General features: G+C 36.5%; 1 protein-coding gene across 16 annotated transcripts in view; it reads left to right on the forward strand.

The window, feature by feature from the left end:
• Nucleotides 1–15,164, forward strand: part of CNTLN (centlein) — a 393,595-nt gene that overhangs the window by 76,392 nt on the left and 302,039 nt on the right. For all 16 annotated transcript variants that reach the window (XR_007061321.1, XR_007061322.1, XR_929282.3 and 13 more), the window contains exon 3: nt 14,772–14,856. Coding sequence is in view for 13 of the 16 variants with exons in the window: in XM_017014839.2 (XP_016870328.1) it covers nt 14,772–14,856 (85 nt within the window). In the remaining 3 variants the exon portion in view is untranslated. The remainder of the gene's footprint in view (nt 1–14,771; nt 14,857–15,164) is intronic.

Here is a 15,164-nt window from a genome sequence, read left to right on the forward strand (position 1 = left end):
GTACCATGCTGTTTTGGTTACTGTAGCTTTGTAGTATAGTTTGAAGTCAGGTAGCGTGATTCCTCCAGCTTTGTTCTTTTGGCTTAGGATTGTCTTGGCAATGCGGGCTCTTTTTTGGTTCCATGTGAACTTTAAAGTAGTTTTTTCCAATTCTGTGAAGAAAGTCATTGGTAGCTTGATGGGGATGGCATTGAATCTATAAATTACCTTGGGCAGTATGGCCATTTTCACAATATTGATTCTTCCTATCCATGAGCATGGAATGTTCTTCCATTTGTTTATGTCCTCTTTTATTTTTTTGAGCAGTGGTTTGTAGTTCTCCTTGAAGAGGTCCTTCACATCCCTTGTAAGTTGGATTCCTAGGTATTTTATTCTCTTTGAAGCAATTGTGAATGGGAGTTCACTCATGATTTGGCTCTCTGTTTGTCTGTTGTTGGTGTATAAGAATGCTTGCGATTTTTGCACATTGATTTTGTATCCTGAGACTTTGCTCAAGTTGCTTATCAGCTTAAGGAGATTGGGGCTGAGACGATGGGGTTTTCTAAATATACAGTCATGTCGTCTGCAAACAGGGACAATTTGACTTCCTCTTTTCCTAATTGAATACCCTTTATTTCTTTCTCCTGCCTTATTGCCCTGGCCAGAATTTCCAAGACTATGTTGAATAGGAGTGGTGAGAGAGGGCATCCCTGTCTTGTGCCAGTTTTCAAAGGGAATGCTTCCAGTTTTTGCCCATTCAGTATGATATTGGCTGTGGGTTTGTGATAAATAGCTCTTATTATTTTGAGATACGTCCCACCAATACCTAATTTATTGAGAGTTTTTAGCATGAAGTGTTGTTGAATTTTGTCAAAGGCCTTTTCTGCATCTCTTGAGATAATCATGTGGTTTTTGTCTTTGGTTCTGTTTATATGCTGGATTACGTTTATTGATTTGCATATGTTGAACCAGCCTTGCATCCTAGGGGTGAAGCCCACTTGATCATGGTGGATAAGCTTTTTGATGTGCTGCTGGATTTGGTTTGCCAGTATTTTATTAAGGATTTTTCTGTGGATGCTCATCAGGGATATTGGTCTAAAATTCTCCTTTTTTGTTGTGTCTCTGCCCGGCTTTGGTATCAGGATGATGCTGGCCTCATAGAATGAGTTAGGGAGGATTCCCTCTTTTTCTACTCATTGGAATAGTTTCAGAAGGAATGGTACCAGCTCCTCCTTGTACTTCTGGTAGAATTCAGCTGTGAATCTATCTGCTCCTGGACTTTTTTGGTTGGTAGGCTATTAATTATTGCCTCAATTTCAGAGGCTGTGTTTGGTCTATTCAGGGATTCAACTTCTTCCTGGTTTAGTCTTCGGAGGGTGTATGTGTCCAGGAATTTATCCATTTCTTCTAGATTTTCTAGTTTATTTGCATAGATGTGTTTATAGTATTCTCTGATGGTAATTTGTATTTCTGTGGGATCGGTGGTGATATCCCCTTTATCATTTTTTATTGCGTCTATTTGATTCTTCTCTCTTTTCTTCTTTATTAGTCTTGCTAGCGGTCTATCAATTTTGTGGATCTTTTCAAAAAACCAGCTGCTAGATTCATTGATTTTTCTGAAGTGTTTTTTGTGTCTCTATCTCCTTCAGTTCTGCTCTGATCTTACTTATTTCTCGCCTTCTGCTAGCTTTTGAATGTGTTTGCTCTTGCTTCTCTAGTTCTTTTAATTGTGATGCTAGGGTGTCAATTTTAGATCTCTTGTGCTTTCTCCTGTGGACATTTAGTGCTATAAATTTCCCTCTACACACTGCTTTAAGTGTGTCCCAGAGATTCTGGTATGTTGTGTGTTTGTTCTCATTGGTTTCAAAGAGCATCTTTATTTCTGCTTTCATTTCATTATGTATCCAGTAGTCATTCAGGAGCAGGTTGTTCAGTTTCCATGTAGTTGACCGGTTTTGAGTGAGTTTCTTAATCCTGAGTTCTAGTTTGATTGCACTGTGGTCTGAGAGACAGTTTGTTATAATTTCTGTTATTTTACATTTGCTGAGGAGTTCTGTACTTCCAACTATGTGGTCAATTTTGGAATAAGTGCGATGTGGTGCTGAGAAGCATGTATATTCTGTTGACTTGGGGTGAAGAGTTCTGTAGATGTCTCTTAGGTCTGCTTGGTGCAGAGCTGAGTTCAATTCCTGGATATTTTTGTTAACTTTCTGACTCGTTGGTCTGTCTAATGTTGACAGTGGGGTGTTATCGTCTCCCATTATTATTGTGTGGGAGTCTAAGTCTCTTTGTAGGTCTCTAAGGACTTGCTTTATGAATCTGGGTGCTCCTGTATTGGGTGCATATATATTTAGGATAGTTAGCTCTTCTTGTTGAATTGATCCCTTTACCATTATGTAGTGGCCTTCTTTGTCTCTTGATCTTTGTTGATTTAAAGTCTGTTTTATCAGACACCAGGATTGCAACCCCTGCCTTTTTTTGTTTTCCATTTTCTTGGTAGATCTTCCTCCTTCCCTTTATTTTGAGCGTATGTGTGTCTTTGCAGGTGATATGGGTCTTCTGAATACAGCACACTGATGGGTCTTGACTCTTTATCCAATTTGCCAGTCTGTGTCTTTTAATTGGAGCATTTAGCCCATTTACATTTAAGATTAATATTGTTATGTGTGAATTTGATCCTGTCATTATGATTTTAGCTGGTTATTTTGCTTATTAGTTGATGCAGTTTCTTCCTAGCCTCGATGGTCTTTACACTTTGGCATGTTTTTGCAGTGACTGGTACCGGTTGTTCCTTTCCATGTTTAGTGCTTCCTTCAGGAGGTCTTGTAGGGCAGGCCTGGTGGTGACAAAATCTCTCAGCATTTGCTTGTCTGTAAAGTATTTTATTTCTCCTTCACTTATGAAGCTTAGTTTGGCTGGATATGAAATTCTGGGTTGAAAATTATTTTCTTTAAGAATGTTGAATATAGGCACCCACTCTCTTCTGGCTTGCAGAGTTTCTGCCAGGAGATCTGCTGTTATTCTGATGGGCTTCCCTTTGTGGGTAACCCGACCTTTCTCTCTGGCTGCCCTTAATATTTTTTCCGTCATTTCAACTTTGGTGAATCTGACAATTATGTGTCTTGGAGTTGCTCTTCTCGAGGAGTATCTTTGTGGCGTTCTCTGTATTTCCTGAATTTGAATGTTGGCCTGCCTCACTAGGTTGGGGAAGTTCTTCTGGATAATATCCTGCAGAGTGTTTTCCATCTTGGTTCCATTGTCCCCATCATTTTCAGGTACACCAATTAGATGTAGATTTGGTCTTTTCACATAGTCATGTATTTCTTGGAGGCTTTGTTCATTTCTTTTTACTTTTTTCTCTAAACTTCTCTTCTCACTTCATTTCATTCATTTGATCTTCAATCACTGATACCCTTTCTTCCAGTTGATCAAATTGGCTACTGAAACTTGTGCATTCATTACGTAGTCCTCGTGCCATGGTTTTCAGCTCCATCAGGTCATTTAAGGACTTCTGTACACTGGTTATTCTAGTTAGCCATTTGTCTAATCTTTTTTGAAGGTTTTTAGCTTCTTTGTGATGGGTTCGAACTTCCTCCTTTAGCTGGGAGAAGTTTGATTGTCTGAAGCCTTCTTTTCTCAACTCGTTAAAGTGATTCTCCATCCAGCTTTGTTCCGTTGCTGGCGAGGAGCTGCATTCCTTTGGAGGAGGAGAGGAGCTCTGATTTTTAGAATTTTCAGCTTTTCTGCTCTGTTTTTTCCCCATCTTTGTAGTTTTATCTACCTTTGGTCTTTGATGATGGTGACGTACAGATGGGGTTTTGGTGTGGATGTCCTTTCTGTTTGTTAGTTCTCCTTCTAACAGTCAGGACCATTAGCTGCATGTCTGTTGGAGTTTATTGGAGGTCACTGCAGAACCTCTTTGCCTGGGTGTCAGCAGCGGAGGCTGCAGAACAGCGAATTTTGCTGAACAGCAAATGTTGCTGCCTGATCATTCCTCTGGAAGCTTCATCTCAGAGGAGTACCCAGACATGTGAGGTGTCAGTCTGCCCCTACTAGGGGGTGCCTCCCAGTTAGGCTACTCGGGGGTCAGGGAACCACTTGAGGAGGCAGTTTGACCATTCTCAGATCTCACACTCCATACTGGGAGAACGACTGCTCTCTTCAAAGCTGTCAGACAGGGACATTTAAGTCTGCAGAGATTTCTGCTGCCTTTTGTTTGGCTATGCCCTGCCCCCAGGGGTGGAGTCTGTGGAGGCTGGCAGGCCTCCTTGAACTGCGGTGGGCTCCACGCAGTTCGAGCTTCTTGGCCGCTTTGTTTACCTACTCAAGCCTCAGCAATGGTGGGCACCCCTTCTCCAGCCTCGCTGCCACCTTGCAGTTCGATCTCAGACTGCTGTGCTAGCAATGAGCGAGGCTCCGTGGGTGTGGGACCCTCTGAGCCAGGCGCGGGGTATAATCTCCTGGTGTGCCGTATGCTAAGACCGTTGGAAAAGCGCAGTATTAGGGTGGGAGTGACCTGATTTTCCAGGTGCTGGTTGTCACAGCTTCCGTTTGCTAGGAAAGGGAAATCCCTGACCCCTTACACTTCCCGGGTGAGGCAGTGCCTCACCCTGCTTTGGCTCACATTCGGTGGGCTGCACCCACTGTCCTGCACCCACTATCTGACAAGCCCCAGTGAGTTGAACCCGTTACCTCAGTTGGAAATGCAGAAATCACCCATCTTCTGAGTTGCTCACTCTTGGAGCTGTAGACTGGAGCTGTTCCTATTTGACCAACTTGGAACTGTCCCCCAGGCTATTTTTAATAATTAGTGGTTAAGAACACAAGCCGTTGAGTCAGGTAACTGGATTTGTAATCCTGGCTTGCTAGTTGTGTAAATTTTGAAGATGTGGTTTGCTTTCTTTTTAATATTCTGTACTTTTTTTGTAGACTTGTTAATACTTTTTTCTTGTGCTCACTTTCCTATTTTCAGTTCTTTTCCTCCTCCTGTTTGGTAATGAAAACTCAATTCTGGAAAATTAGAATGGTAAAAGGGAATAAAGGCAAGATGATTTTTAGATTTTATTGACATGTTTTTATTGGCCGGTTTATTAAGATTTTATTGATACATTTATCAAGGATATGTGTGCTATATCCTTGATACACTTGGTTCAAAGATTTAATTTCATAGTAAAGGAGAGATTGTCTTATTTTTATTTCTATTTCTTATTTTATTTCAATTTTTAGAGTTAAAGTTTACATGTTTGCATGTTTGATAGGGAGACTATTTCTGTAAGTTTATGTTATATTCTCTCACTACTGGGACCACCTCCCTCCTGCTCCTTTCCACTCTAAAGCACTTGGGTTACACAGCTGCTATATGGTTGTACCCTGTCCCATGTGTATTAAGCCAACATAGGCTGCAAAGGGGTTGCAGTTTGGAGCATGATAGTAGCGTGGCTGTTTGGAGACCCCAGAACTGTAGCTGCCAGAATTATGCCATCTGGTAGCAATGCTGCCAGGCAGTTCCACCCAGGGCATAAATGTATTTTTGCTGAGCACTTTTCGTGTTGCAAGAGCCATGATTGCCTAGGCAGGGATGTGGATGGATGGTCATGGGAACTAACTGAAAGGTGTTTAATTGGAACCACTCTAATGTTCAAGGTGAGAGTACTTGCAATAAACATGAAGAATCACATTCAAACTTTTACAATAGATGCAGGAAGCTTAACCAAATAGTCTTTTAACTTTTATGAAGATTTTTAAATTAAATAATTGTGAGATTATAGTAAGGAATAGTTACTTTAAAAATTTAATCTTTATACACATGGCAGAAGGTGGTACAGAAACATAGCTTTTGTTTTTAAGGTAAAATAATTGTGATCACCTTTATTTGTTGAGAGTTTATTTCTGTTTTCTTAAAAATTCCCAGAACATTGAACGTAATTCAACATTCCATGGGGAAGAAAGTATTATGCAGCTTGCATGTGTGCATATCTGCATATCGGAGCACAAAATATTGACATGATAATTGTAGTCAAGCCTGAGTGAACAGTGGCCTGTGGGAATTCAGCTGGTGTTGTACCAACTGGATGGCTGCTCAGGACACAGTTTGAAATGCAAGGTGCAAGTTAGCACTTTATTCAGCACAGGCAGGCATCATTTAAAAATCCTTGGGGGCAACCCTGGTGATGTGCAGATGTTAAAACAGTCTGTTCTGAAGTGCTGATTTTCAAACACTGGAAGAAACTTCTAGATTCTGGGTGAAAAATATTTGCACAATCATGAAAGGCATATAATGCACAATCATAAAAGGCATATAATACACAATCTTTTCCTACTCTTTTATGTTGTTTTACATAATAAATGTTGAGTATATGCAGAAATATCTGGACAAATAGTTAAAAGAGATGAAATATAAGAAAATCAGGAAATAGTCACTTAATTTCTAACTATAAAACAGAAAAAGGTTTTGTTTTGAGTTTCAGCTTTGTATATTTAGAAATGGTGTTGAATGAGTATCTGATATATAAAGAGTATCTGATCTTATTTAATACTATATTTAATATAAGCAGATGTGTTCTTTTGAATTGTTGCTTCTTTGTTTAAAGGGTTCATCTGTACTCCATAATTTACAGATTCAGATTCACATCTTAGCCTGATAATCTTCTGCATTTTAGTCTGATTGAATAAGGAAAAAAATGTCCATCATTTGTCGTTTGCCAACTTCTCCAGCACAAGTTTTGGCTTTCAAATATAATTTTAAACATGTATTTTATACTGGAAATTAAATATAATAGTTCTAAATTCTGGATTATACAATAAAAACTCAGTTTTGTATAAAAGCAAAGTAGATATATTAACTATACTTGAGCCTTTAAAACATTTTATATCAAAGTTTTTACATGAATTAAGATCTGTTGAATTATTTTTATTCCACATATTAAAGTTTTCTTTTTTTAAATATTTGCTTTTACTGTGGAGTAAAATGTGTTTGTACAATATTTTTGCAACCTCTTTTTCAAGTTTTATTATTGTTATATTGTTTATAGATGCCATTCCAGTAATTCACTATGCGTATTCATAAGAAGAAATACTTATAAAATAGTTCATGAATAAATGGATAATTTGATGATGGCATAACTTTGATTTCTCTGAACTTCTGTTATTAAGTCTTACTGTTTTAGAATCTTAGTGTTTACTAGAAATTGGGAATTGTTTAAATTGCAAACCATTGATATGTATAAAATCTGCATTTTAATAGGTTCTCTACTCAAATGAAAGAAAACGTTAGTCCAATAAATAGCTTTATTTTGTGTGTTATTTATGTCTGTAAATCAAAAATAACCAACTTCAGTAAGTTTTGCTTTTTTATTTTGTTTATAAATTCAGACCAATATCACTGCCTCATTTATAGTTGGATGTTTTTTTAGACTCTAATATTTCATTTTGACATCTCATTAAAAGTGGGCTCAAACCCAGAAAATATGATCCTGTTGTAGTGTATAATATATGGCATGGTCTATAACATAATAAAATTTTGTTTCTTAATGATTCAGAATAATTTCTCAGATTTTTGAGCTTAGAAAAATGACTGAAAGTTAGCGTGGTAATTCATGTGGCTAAGTACAGCATTGTTAAAATGTTTAAATGGGAAGTACTCTTGGGAAAAATGATTGGTGCTTAAAAGTTGTACAGATTTGACAGCCTCTCTTCGCTTCATTTTTCATTCTAAAGAAGTCGGCAAATATTCTTCGCTCACATCATTATTGCACATCAGTGGTTCTAATTAGCTAAACAGGAGTTTGTCTCAGTCATTGATCATCATCAGCTCCTGGCAGTGTCTTTTTTTTTCTTTTTAAGGAACCTTTTTTTTTTTAGGTCTTGTAAGTACATAGAAGTACATGTATTAATTGAATTGACCAGATTGGTTGGTGACATTATAAACTTGAAACAATATTTAAAAATTTTATTTTTTCAAGTAGAAAATATTGTATTCCTGTTACAGCACCATTTTATCTTGGGAGCATTTTCCTGTTATGAAAATGTTAGACATCTCATACCACCAGGAGGAGCTGCTAGACAAATTGCCATATTTTGAGTTTTGATTATCTTTCAATTTCAAAATTATAACATATTAGTCAATTTTGGAGGTTTTTGGTTATAAGATATACCATTCAGGTATATTTTTGAAGTTTTTATTTTATATGGCACTTATGACCCATTTTTTCAATATTATGTCACTCAGATTAATCTACTGGGAAGTGTGTTATTGTTATTTTGGTGACTCTCACACTTTAGTGTGCATCAGAATCGCTTGAGATCTTGTGTCTTAGTCAGTTCTGACTGCTAAAACAGAATCCTGGGTGGCTTAAATAACAAACATTTATTCTCATGGTTCCAGGAAGTACAAAATTAAAATGCTAGCCAATGTGGTTTCTGGTGAGGGCTCTTTGTAAATGGCTGCCTTTTTGTTGTATCCTCATATGACACCGAGAGATCTTCTCTCTAGTGTCCCCTCTCATTAAGGTGCTACTCCCATTCATGAAGGAGTAATCCTCATGACCCTAATTGCCTTTCATAGGCCTACCTCCAAATACTATGACATTGGTTATTAGGGCCTCAATATATGAATTTTGAGGAGACACAAACCTTCAGTCCATAGCACCTTGTTAAACACAGATTGCTGGGCCCCCACTCTTACAGTTCTTGATTCAGTGCATCTGGATTGGGCTGAAGAACATGCATTTCTAACCTGGGTGATGATGATGCTCGTGCTCTGGCAACCTAACCACTAGTTAGACTGTGAGTATGTGTACATACTTGTGTCATAGGAGATAATTAGCCTAGTATCAAGCTCATTTGGAAGCTGTAATAATGCTTTTGTTTGGGTTTGGTGTCACATAATCTAGTATTATCCGTATCTCATTTAAAAGTACTACCAGAATTTATTTGGACATTAGTGGGGATCTTAAGTTTATTATAGAAGAGGGGATTATAAAGACTAACCGTACAGTTTTTTTAAAAACATTTAAGTTTAGGGGTACATGTGCAGGTTTGTAATGTAGTTAAATGTTTTTTAGGTAAACTTTAAAGGTAAACTTGTGTCATGGGAGTTTTGTTATACAAATTATTTTATCACCCACTTATTAAGCCTAGTACCCATTAGTTATTTTTCCTGATCTTCTACCTCCTCCCACCCTGCACTCTCTGATAGGACCCAGTGTGTGTTGTTCCCCTCTGTGCAGCCATGGGTTCTCATCATTTAGCTCCCGCTTATAGGCGAGAACATGTTGCACATGCAATATTTGATTTTCTCTACCTGCATTAGTTTTCTGAGGATAATGACCTTCAGCTCCATCCCTGTCCCTGCAAAGGACATGATCTTGTTCTTTTTTATAGCTTTGTAGTATTCCACAGTGTATATGTACCACATTTTCTTTATCCAGTCCATCATTGATGGGCATTTATGTTGATTCCATGTCTTTGCTATTGTAAACAGTGCTGCAGTGAATATATGGGTGCATATGTCTTTATATGGAATGATTTATATTCCTTTGTAACCCTATAAATTAAACTAATTCCTGGACAGTTAAAAATAGATTCATGGTATATCTGGAAAAGAACTTACAAAGGAACTATCTGACTGTAGTTAATGCTTTGACTTTCATGATCTGGGTCTTTGTCCCTGGGTAAATCCTATAATGCCCTAACTTTTGGGATCCTGTTATTTTCCTCCTAATGTATATACCTCTAATAGATTTAGTATTCTTTTGCAGTACTTCTGATTTTATAATGATAAGCTAAACATTCAAGTGGTAATTTGAGATAATATATTAGTGACAAATTATAGGTAAAGTTCATATATTTTAACATAAAATAGTTGTATAAATCAATAAAAACACACTAAAATATAAAATGGCAGATATATCGATAGGCAACGCCAAAACATAAAATAAAAAGGGGCAGAAATTCATCAGTTTCTGAAAGTACATTATATTTTATTATTAATATAAGAAACAAAAGAAGGCCTAGTTGTACATAATGGATTGCAATTATGTATTAAATGTACTATTAACGTATGGTAAGTAGACAACAAAATAATAAAGCAAGATAAAGTGCAAATGGTAAAAATAAATCATCATAATATACATGTTTGCAAAATTTCCAGTGTGGTTTATTCCAATTCTCCGCCTTTTGTGTGCCTACATCCAAAGGGCTAAACTTGGCTTGAGAAAGACCTTGAACCATGATGACAATGATCTTGTATAAATTTATGACCACTAATTTTAAGTGGCCCTCAGTACTGCCTGTTCATCATCCTATTTTTTCCTGGCCCGCTTACTATCTCAGTATCCTAGAATGTTTTGTTTTCTCTTTTCTCAACTTCCAACACTTCTTTTCCCATTCTTACTTTCAGCTGTTGGATACCCTTGCTTTCATATACCATTGAGAAAGTGGAAACTCTTAGAAGGGAGCTTTTATTCCTTCCCATAACTGTATCTACCAACATATCTGAATCTGTTCTCATATTCTCTCTTTTTATTTCTTTGGAAGAACTGTTTATATTTACCTAAGGCCGAACAAACTATATGTACGCTTCAAGCCTCAAGGATTCAAAGATGTTGGACTGCAGTTCTCTTTTCTGTCCTGCATTATCAGTGTCTCTCACTGCCCTGGATCATTCCTGTCAGCATACACACAGGCTGTCTTATCTCCCATGTTTAAAAAAAACAAAAACAAAAACAAACTCTTGTGATCTCATATTTCCCTTGAACTATTTTGCCATTTCTCTGCTCCTTTCTGTGCAAAATTTCTCTGAAGAGTACTTTTCAGTATTTCTGTGTTTTTCTTTCTCACTTGAACTCACTCTAATTAGGCTTTGTAATCACCATCCTTCTAAAATAGTTCTTGTCAAGATATCAACTACTGACCTTAATTGATATGGTTAGGCTCTGCGTCTCCACCCAAATCTCATCTTTAGTTGTACTCCCATAATTCCCAATGTGTTATGGAAAGGACCTAGTGGGTAATAATTTGAACCATGGGGGTGGTTTCCCCTGTACTGTTCTCGTGGTAGTGAAATATCGTGGTATATGAAAGCAAGGGAGATCTGATGGTTTTATCAGGGGTTTCCGCTTTTGCATCTTCCTCATTTTCTCTTGCCGCTGCCATGTGTAAGAAGTACCTTTCACCTCCTGCCATGATTCTGAGGCCTCCCCAGCCATGTCGAACTGTAAGTCCAAGTAAACCTCTTTTTCTTCCCAGTCTCGGGTATGTCTTTATCAGCAGTGTGAAAACAGACTAATACATTAATATTGCTAAATCCAACAGTCATTTCTCAGTCTTTAGTGTGTTTGCAGCATTTGGTATACTTGATCATTCCTTTCTACTAAATTCTATTCACTTAGCTCTTTCTCTTTATTCTCTTAAATTACTGGCTTATCCTTCTTAGTTTCATGTGATGTTTTTTCCTTATCTTACTAATCTATAAATGTTGAAATGTTCCAGGACTGAATCCTCATACTTCTTTATGCAAAATCACTCCCTAGGTGAACTTATCTACCCTTATGGTCTTAAAAATATAGTAGTCTGCCTTATCCATGGGGGATACGTTCCAAGCCTCCCAACGGGTACTTGAAACCATGGATAGCACTGAACCCTATGTACACTACGTTTTTTCCTACACGGTAATAGGCAGGTTGTGTTTATAGCATGGATACTTTCGACAAAGAGATGATTCATGTCCTACGTGAGTTGGGACTTGGACAGTGCAAGTTTTTTCATGCATTCAGAACAGCACTGCAATTTAAAGCTTATGGATTGTTTATTTCTGGAACTTATCATTTAATATTTTTGGATCACAGTTGGCTGCTGGTAACTGAAGCCATGGAAAGTGAAACTGAGGGTAAGGGGGAACTACGGTATTTGGATGACTCCTAAAGTTGTATCTCCAGCCTTAACTTTTTTACTGATTCCAGACTTTTTAATTCAACTGCCTACTCCTCTTGGATGTTGATTAGGCATCTCAAACTTAGTATGTCCACATTTGAAATCCTTGTGTCCGTCCACCAAACTTCTTCTCTGTGTCTCAGATAATGTCTGCTCCATTCTTCCAGTTGTGTAGGCAAAAGCTTGGGAGACATTCCTCACTTTTCTATCAAGAAATCCTGTTAGCTCTACCTTAAAAATATCCAAAATTTAATCACTTCTCAATGCCACTGCATCTGCCTATCATGTACAATTCACCTTTCTTTTTTACCTGGCTGTTTCATTTGCCTTCTAACTTGTCTTTTTGCTTTCTCCCTTGACCCTTAAGGTCTGTCCTCAACCCACCAGCCATTGATACTCTTAGAATGTTATATGTTATTTCTCTGCTCATTGCCTTCCCATTTCACTTCAGATCCAAATTTCACAGGGCCTAGAAGGCCACATATTATTTTATCCCCAGTGATTTCTCTGTTCTTAGCTACCATTTCCTTATCTACTTTACTATAAATGTGTGTACTTCCGTGCTGTTCTTTGAATATACCAATTGCTCTTGCTCTTGTGTCTTTGCTCTTGCTACTAGTTCCATGACTTGACTTGGAAAACTCTTCCCTAGGGTCTTCATGACTCTTCCTTCCTTCCTTTAGATCTCTCCTCAAATATAATATTACTTTTAAGGAGAGTTACATGTTAACTATTCTATATAAAATAACAACAACCTTCGTTTCACTCCCAGCTTCTCTAGGACTGGGAATTCCTTTCTTCGTTACCCTAATTTATTGTCCTTATTATACTGATAGCAATTTGACATACTATGTATTATTTATCTTCATTATCTATGTACTGAAATGTTAATTCCATGAAGGCAGCAACTTGGTTTATTTTGTTCCCTCCAATATCTCTAGTCCCTAGTCCAATGACTGTTATATAATAAATGTGCAATAAATACTTGAATGAGTGATGGATTAATGTATTAGATGTGACTTTTATTTATTCTGGTAGGTATTCCTTCAATCTGAGAACTTTATTTAATTCTAAAATATTCCCAGCAGTTACCTCCTGAAATATTGCTTTATTTTTCATCCCCATAGTTATTACTTCTGGAATGTTGTAGGCATATGTTGGAGTTTCCCAAAGAAACTTGTCTCAACTGTGTTTTCATGTTTTTAATCTCACTATTTTCCTGTGTAGTGTTCTGGATGAATCCCTTATTACTATCCCTTATTTCACTAATCTCTTTTTGTGTCTAGTTTTGAGCTTAGTCCATTTAGTTGTTTTTTACTTCAGTGATTATAATTTTTTATCTTCAAGATTTTAATAGCTTCTTTACATCTACCTGATTGTGTTTCATCTCTCAGCTTTACTTTTAACATTAGTTATTCTTTTGTCTTTACGGACCTTTAACTTACTTATTGTAGTCTTTTTCATTATATTTGGTTATTTTTATTTTTTCTAGAGGATTGCATCTTTTGACTTGAACTAGTATGTCAGTGTATGGGGATTCATGTATTTTGAATTTTTTTGTTTGGGGTCATATCTCAAGAGGGAAGATTGCTGTTATTGTTACTGTTTACTTCCTCCTCTTTCTCCACCACCACGTCCTTAACTAATGCCTATCTTTTTTTCTAGAAATTTTATAGTTGCCTTTAAATTGTCAATCTCACCCTAGTCTCTTTCCTGAAATAGGTTTTATAGAGGTTTTGCTACACCTAGCCTCAGTTGCAGGGTGTTTTGGCTCAACTCTTGATTGGGGAGCTACATCTATAAACTTTTGCCTTTCTAGACTCTAATATAAGCCTTGGTTCTAGGCAAGGATGGGCAGAAGCTTTTTTCCAGCTTCATTTCATGAGTTAGCATTCCCATCCCACACAATGAGCCTGGTTGTGCTTCTGCATACTGGGTAAGGCACTTGTATTCCCTATTAACCCCAGAAGTCAAGCTCCTTTCCACCTCAGCCTGCATCTGGCTCTGGGGGACAGCAAATAGTAGCTTCATCCCCATTTATAGTTTTCTATTTTTGTTTAATTTGTGATTCTCACAGATATAGATTTGTCTGTTTAATTATTTATGTTTTTCTATGAATACCATGTATTTTATTTGTGACCTTTTAAAAAATGTAAATCAGTGTCCAATCAATTTCCCCTTATTTATAATATAAATTGACTGGTGTCAGCCTGATTATACAGTCTCTTCAGACCTTTGTTCCTTCCTTTCCCTTTTCCTCCTTTGCTTTATAAAGCTATATTTGTTTAAAAGCTATATTTGTTTTAGAAGATAGTCATTCTTTACAAGTATTGTGATTTTCTGTTTCCCAGAGAACTATGCTTTGATTGTACAACTACCATTTAGTTTAGTTAATAGTATTCTCAGAGACTAGAAATGTATAGGAAGGTGTCAGAAATCAAAAAATTCTAGTTATAGGGTATCGACTATAAGTAAATCTCTGTCACTCTCTCTTTTGAGACTCTTAAAAAATGGTAAATTTTATCCTTAATATAATTGTGTATATGAAAGCTTAAATTAACAAGAACATGTTTACTTAATTGTAATTATTTTCAAAGCGATGACAGTATGGTTATTGCAATCAAGGTTAAACTATGTTTTATGTAATTTTTATCATATACCTAAATCTAGAAATGAAACTGTTCTTTTAGTATGAAGTTGTCTTAGTTTTCAGCAGTTGTAAGTTGCTGTCACTTGCCATGTGGTCAACTCAAGATGATTTAATTTTCTATATTTTAAAGTGATATTAATATTTGGGATATGAAAATTTAAAGTATTAGCTACCAGTTATGACTAATAAACTCTCTATATTTTATATCTAGAGAAAAACAGAAATCTGAAGCTAAAGACAGAAAAGTTCTAGAAATTCTGCAAGTCAAGGATGCCAAAATACAAGAATTTGAACAGGTTGGTGTTATAATAAAAATATTTAAATTAACTATATTTGTTTTGGGTAGTAGATCTTCAAAATTATTTTTATTTTTTTGCAATAGTGTTTATTGAGAATATCAGGGTCCTTATGTTAAAGCATTACTATTTTGAAGTCACTAGTAAGATTATTCTTCATCATTAATACTTCTCTTGTACCCTTTTGTTTTCTGAATTAATAGATTATAACTCTTCATCTAATGTTACAGTTTTATAATAGTATCTAGCTATTATTCTTTATTTTGTTGAATTTTGACATTATTAGCAGTTATCATTTACTTCTGAAA

Source organism: Homo sapiens, chromosome 9 (assembly GCF_000001405.40).
Source record: "Homo sapiens chromosome 9, GRCh38.p14 Primary Assembly".
NCBI lineage: Eukaryota > Metazoa > Chordata > Mammalia > Primates > Hominidae > Homo > Homo sapiens.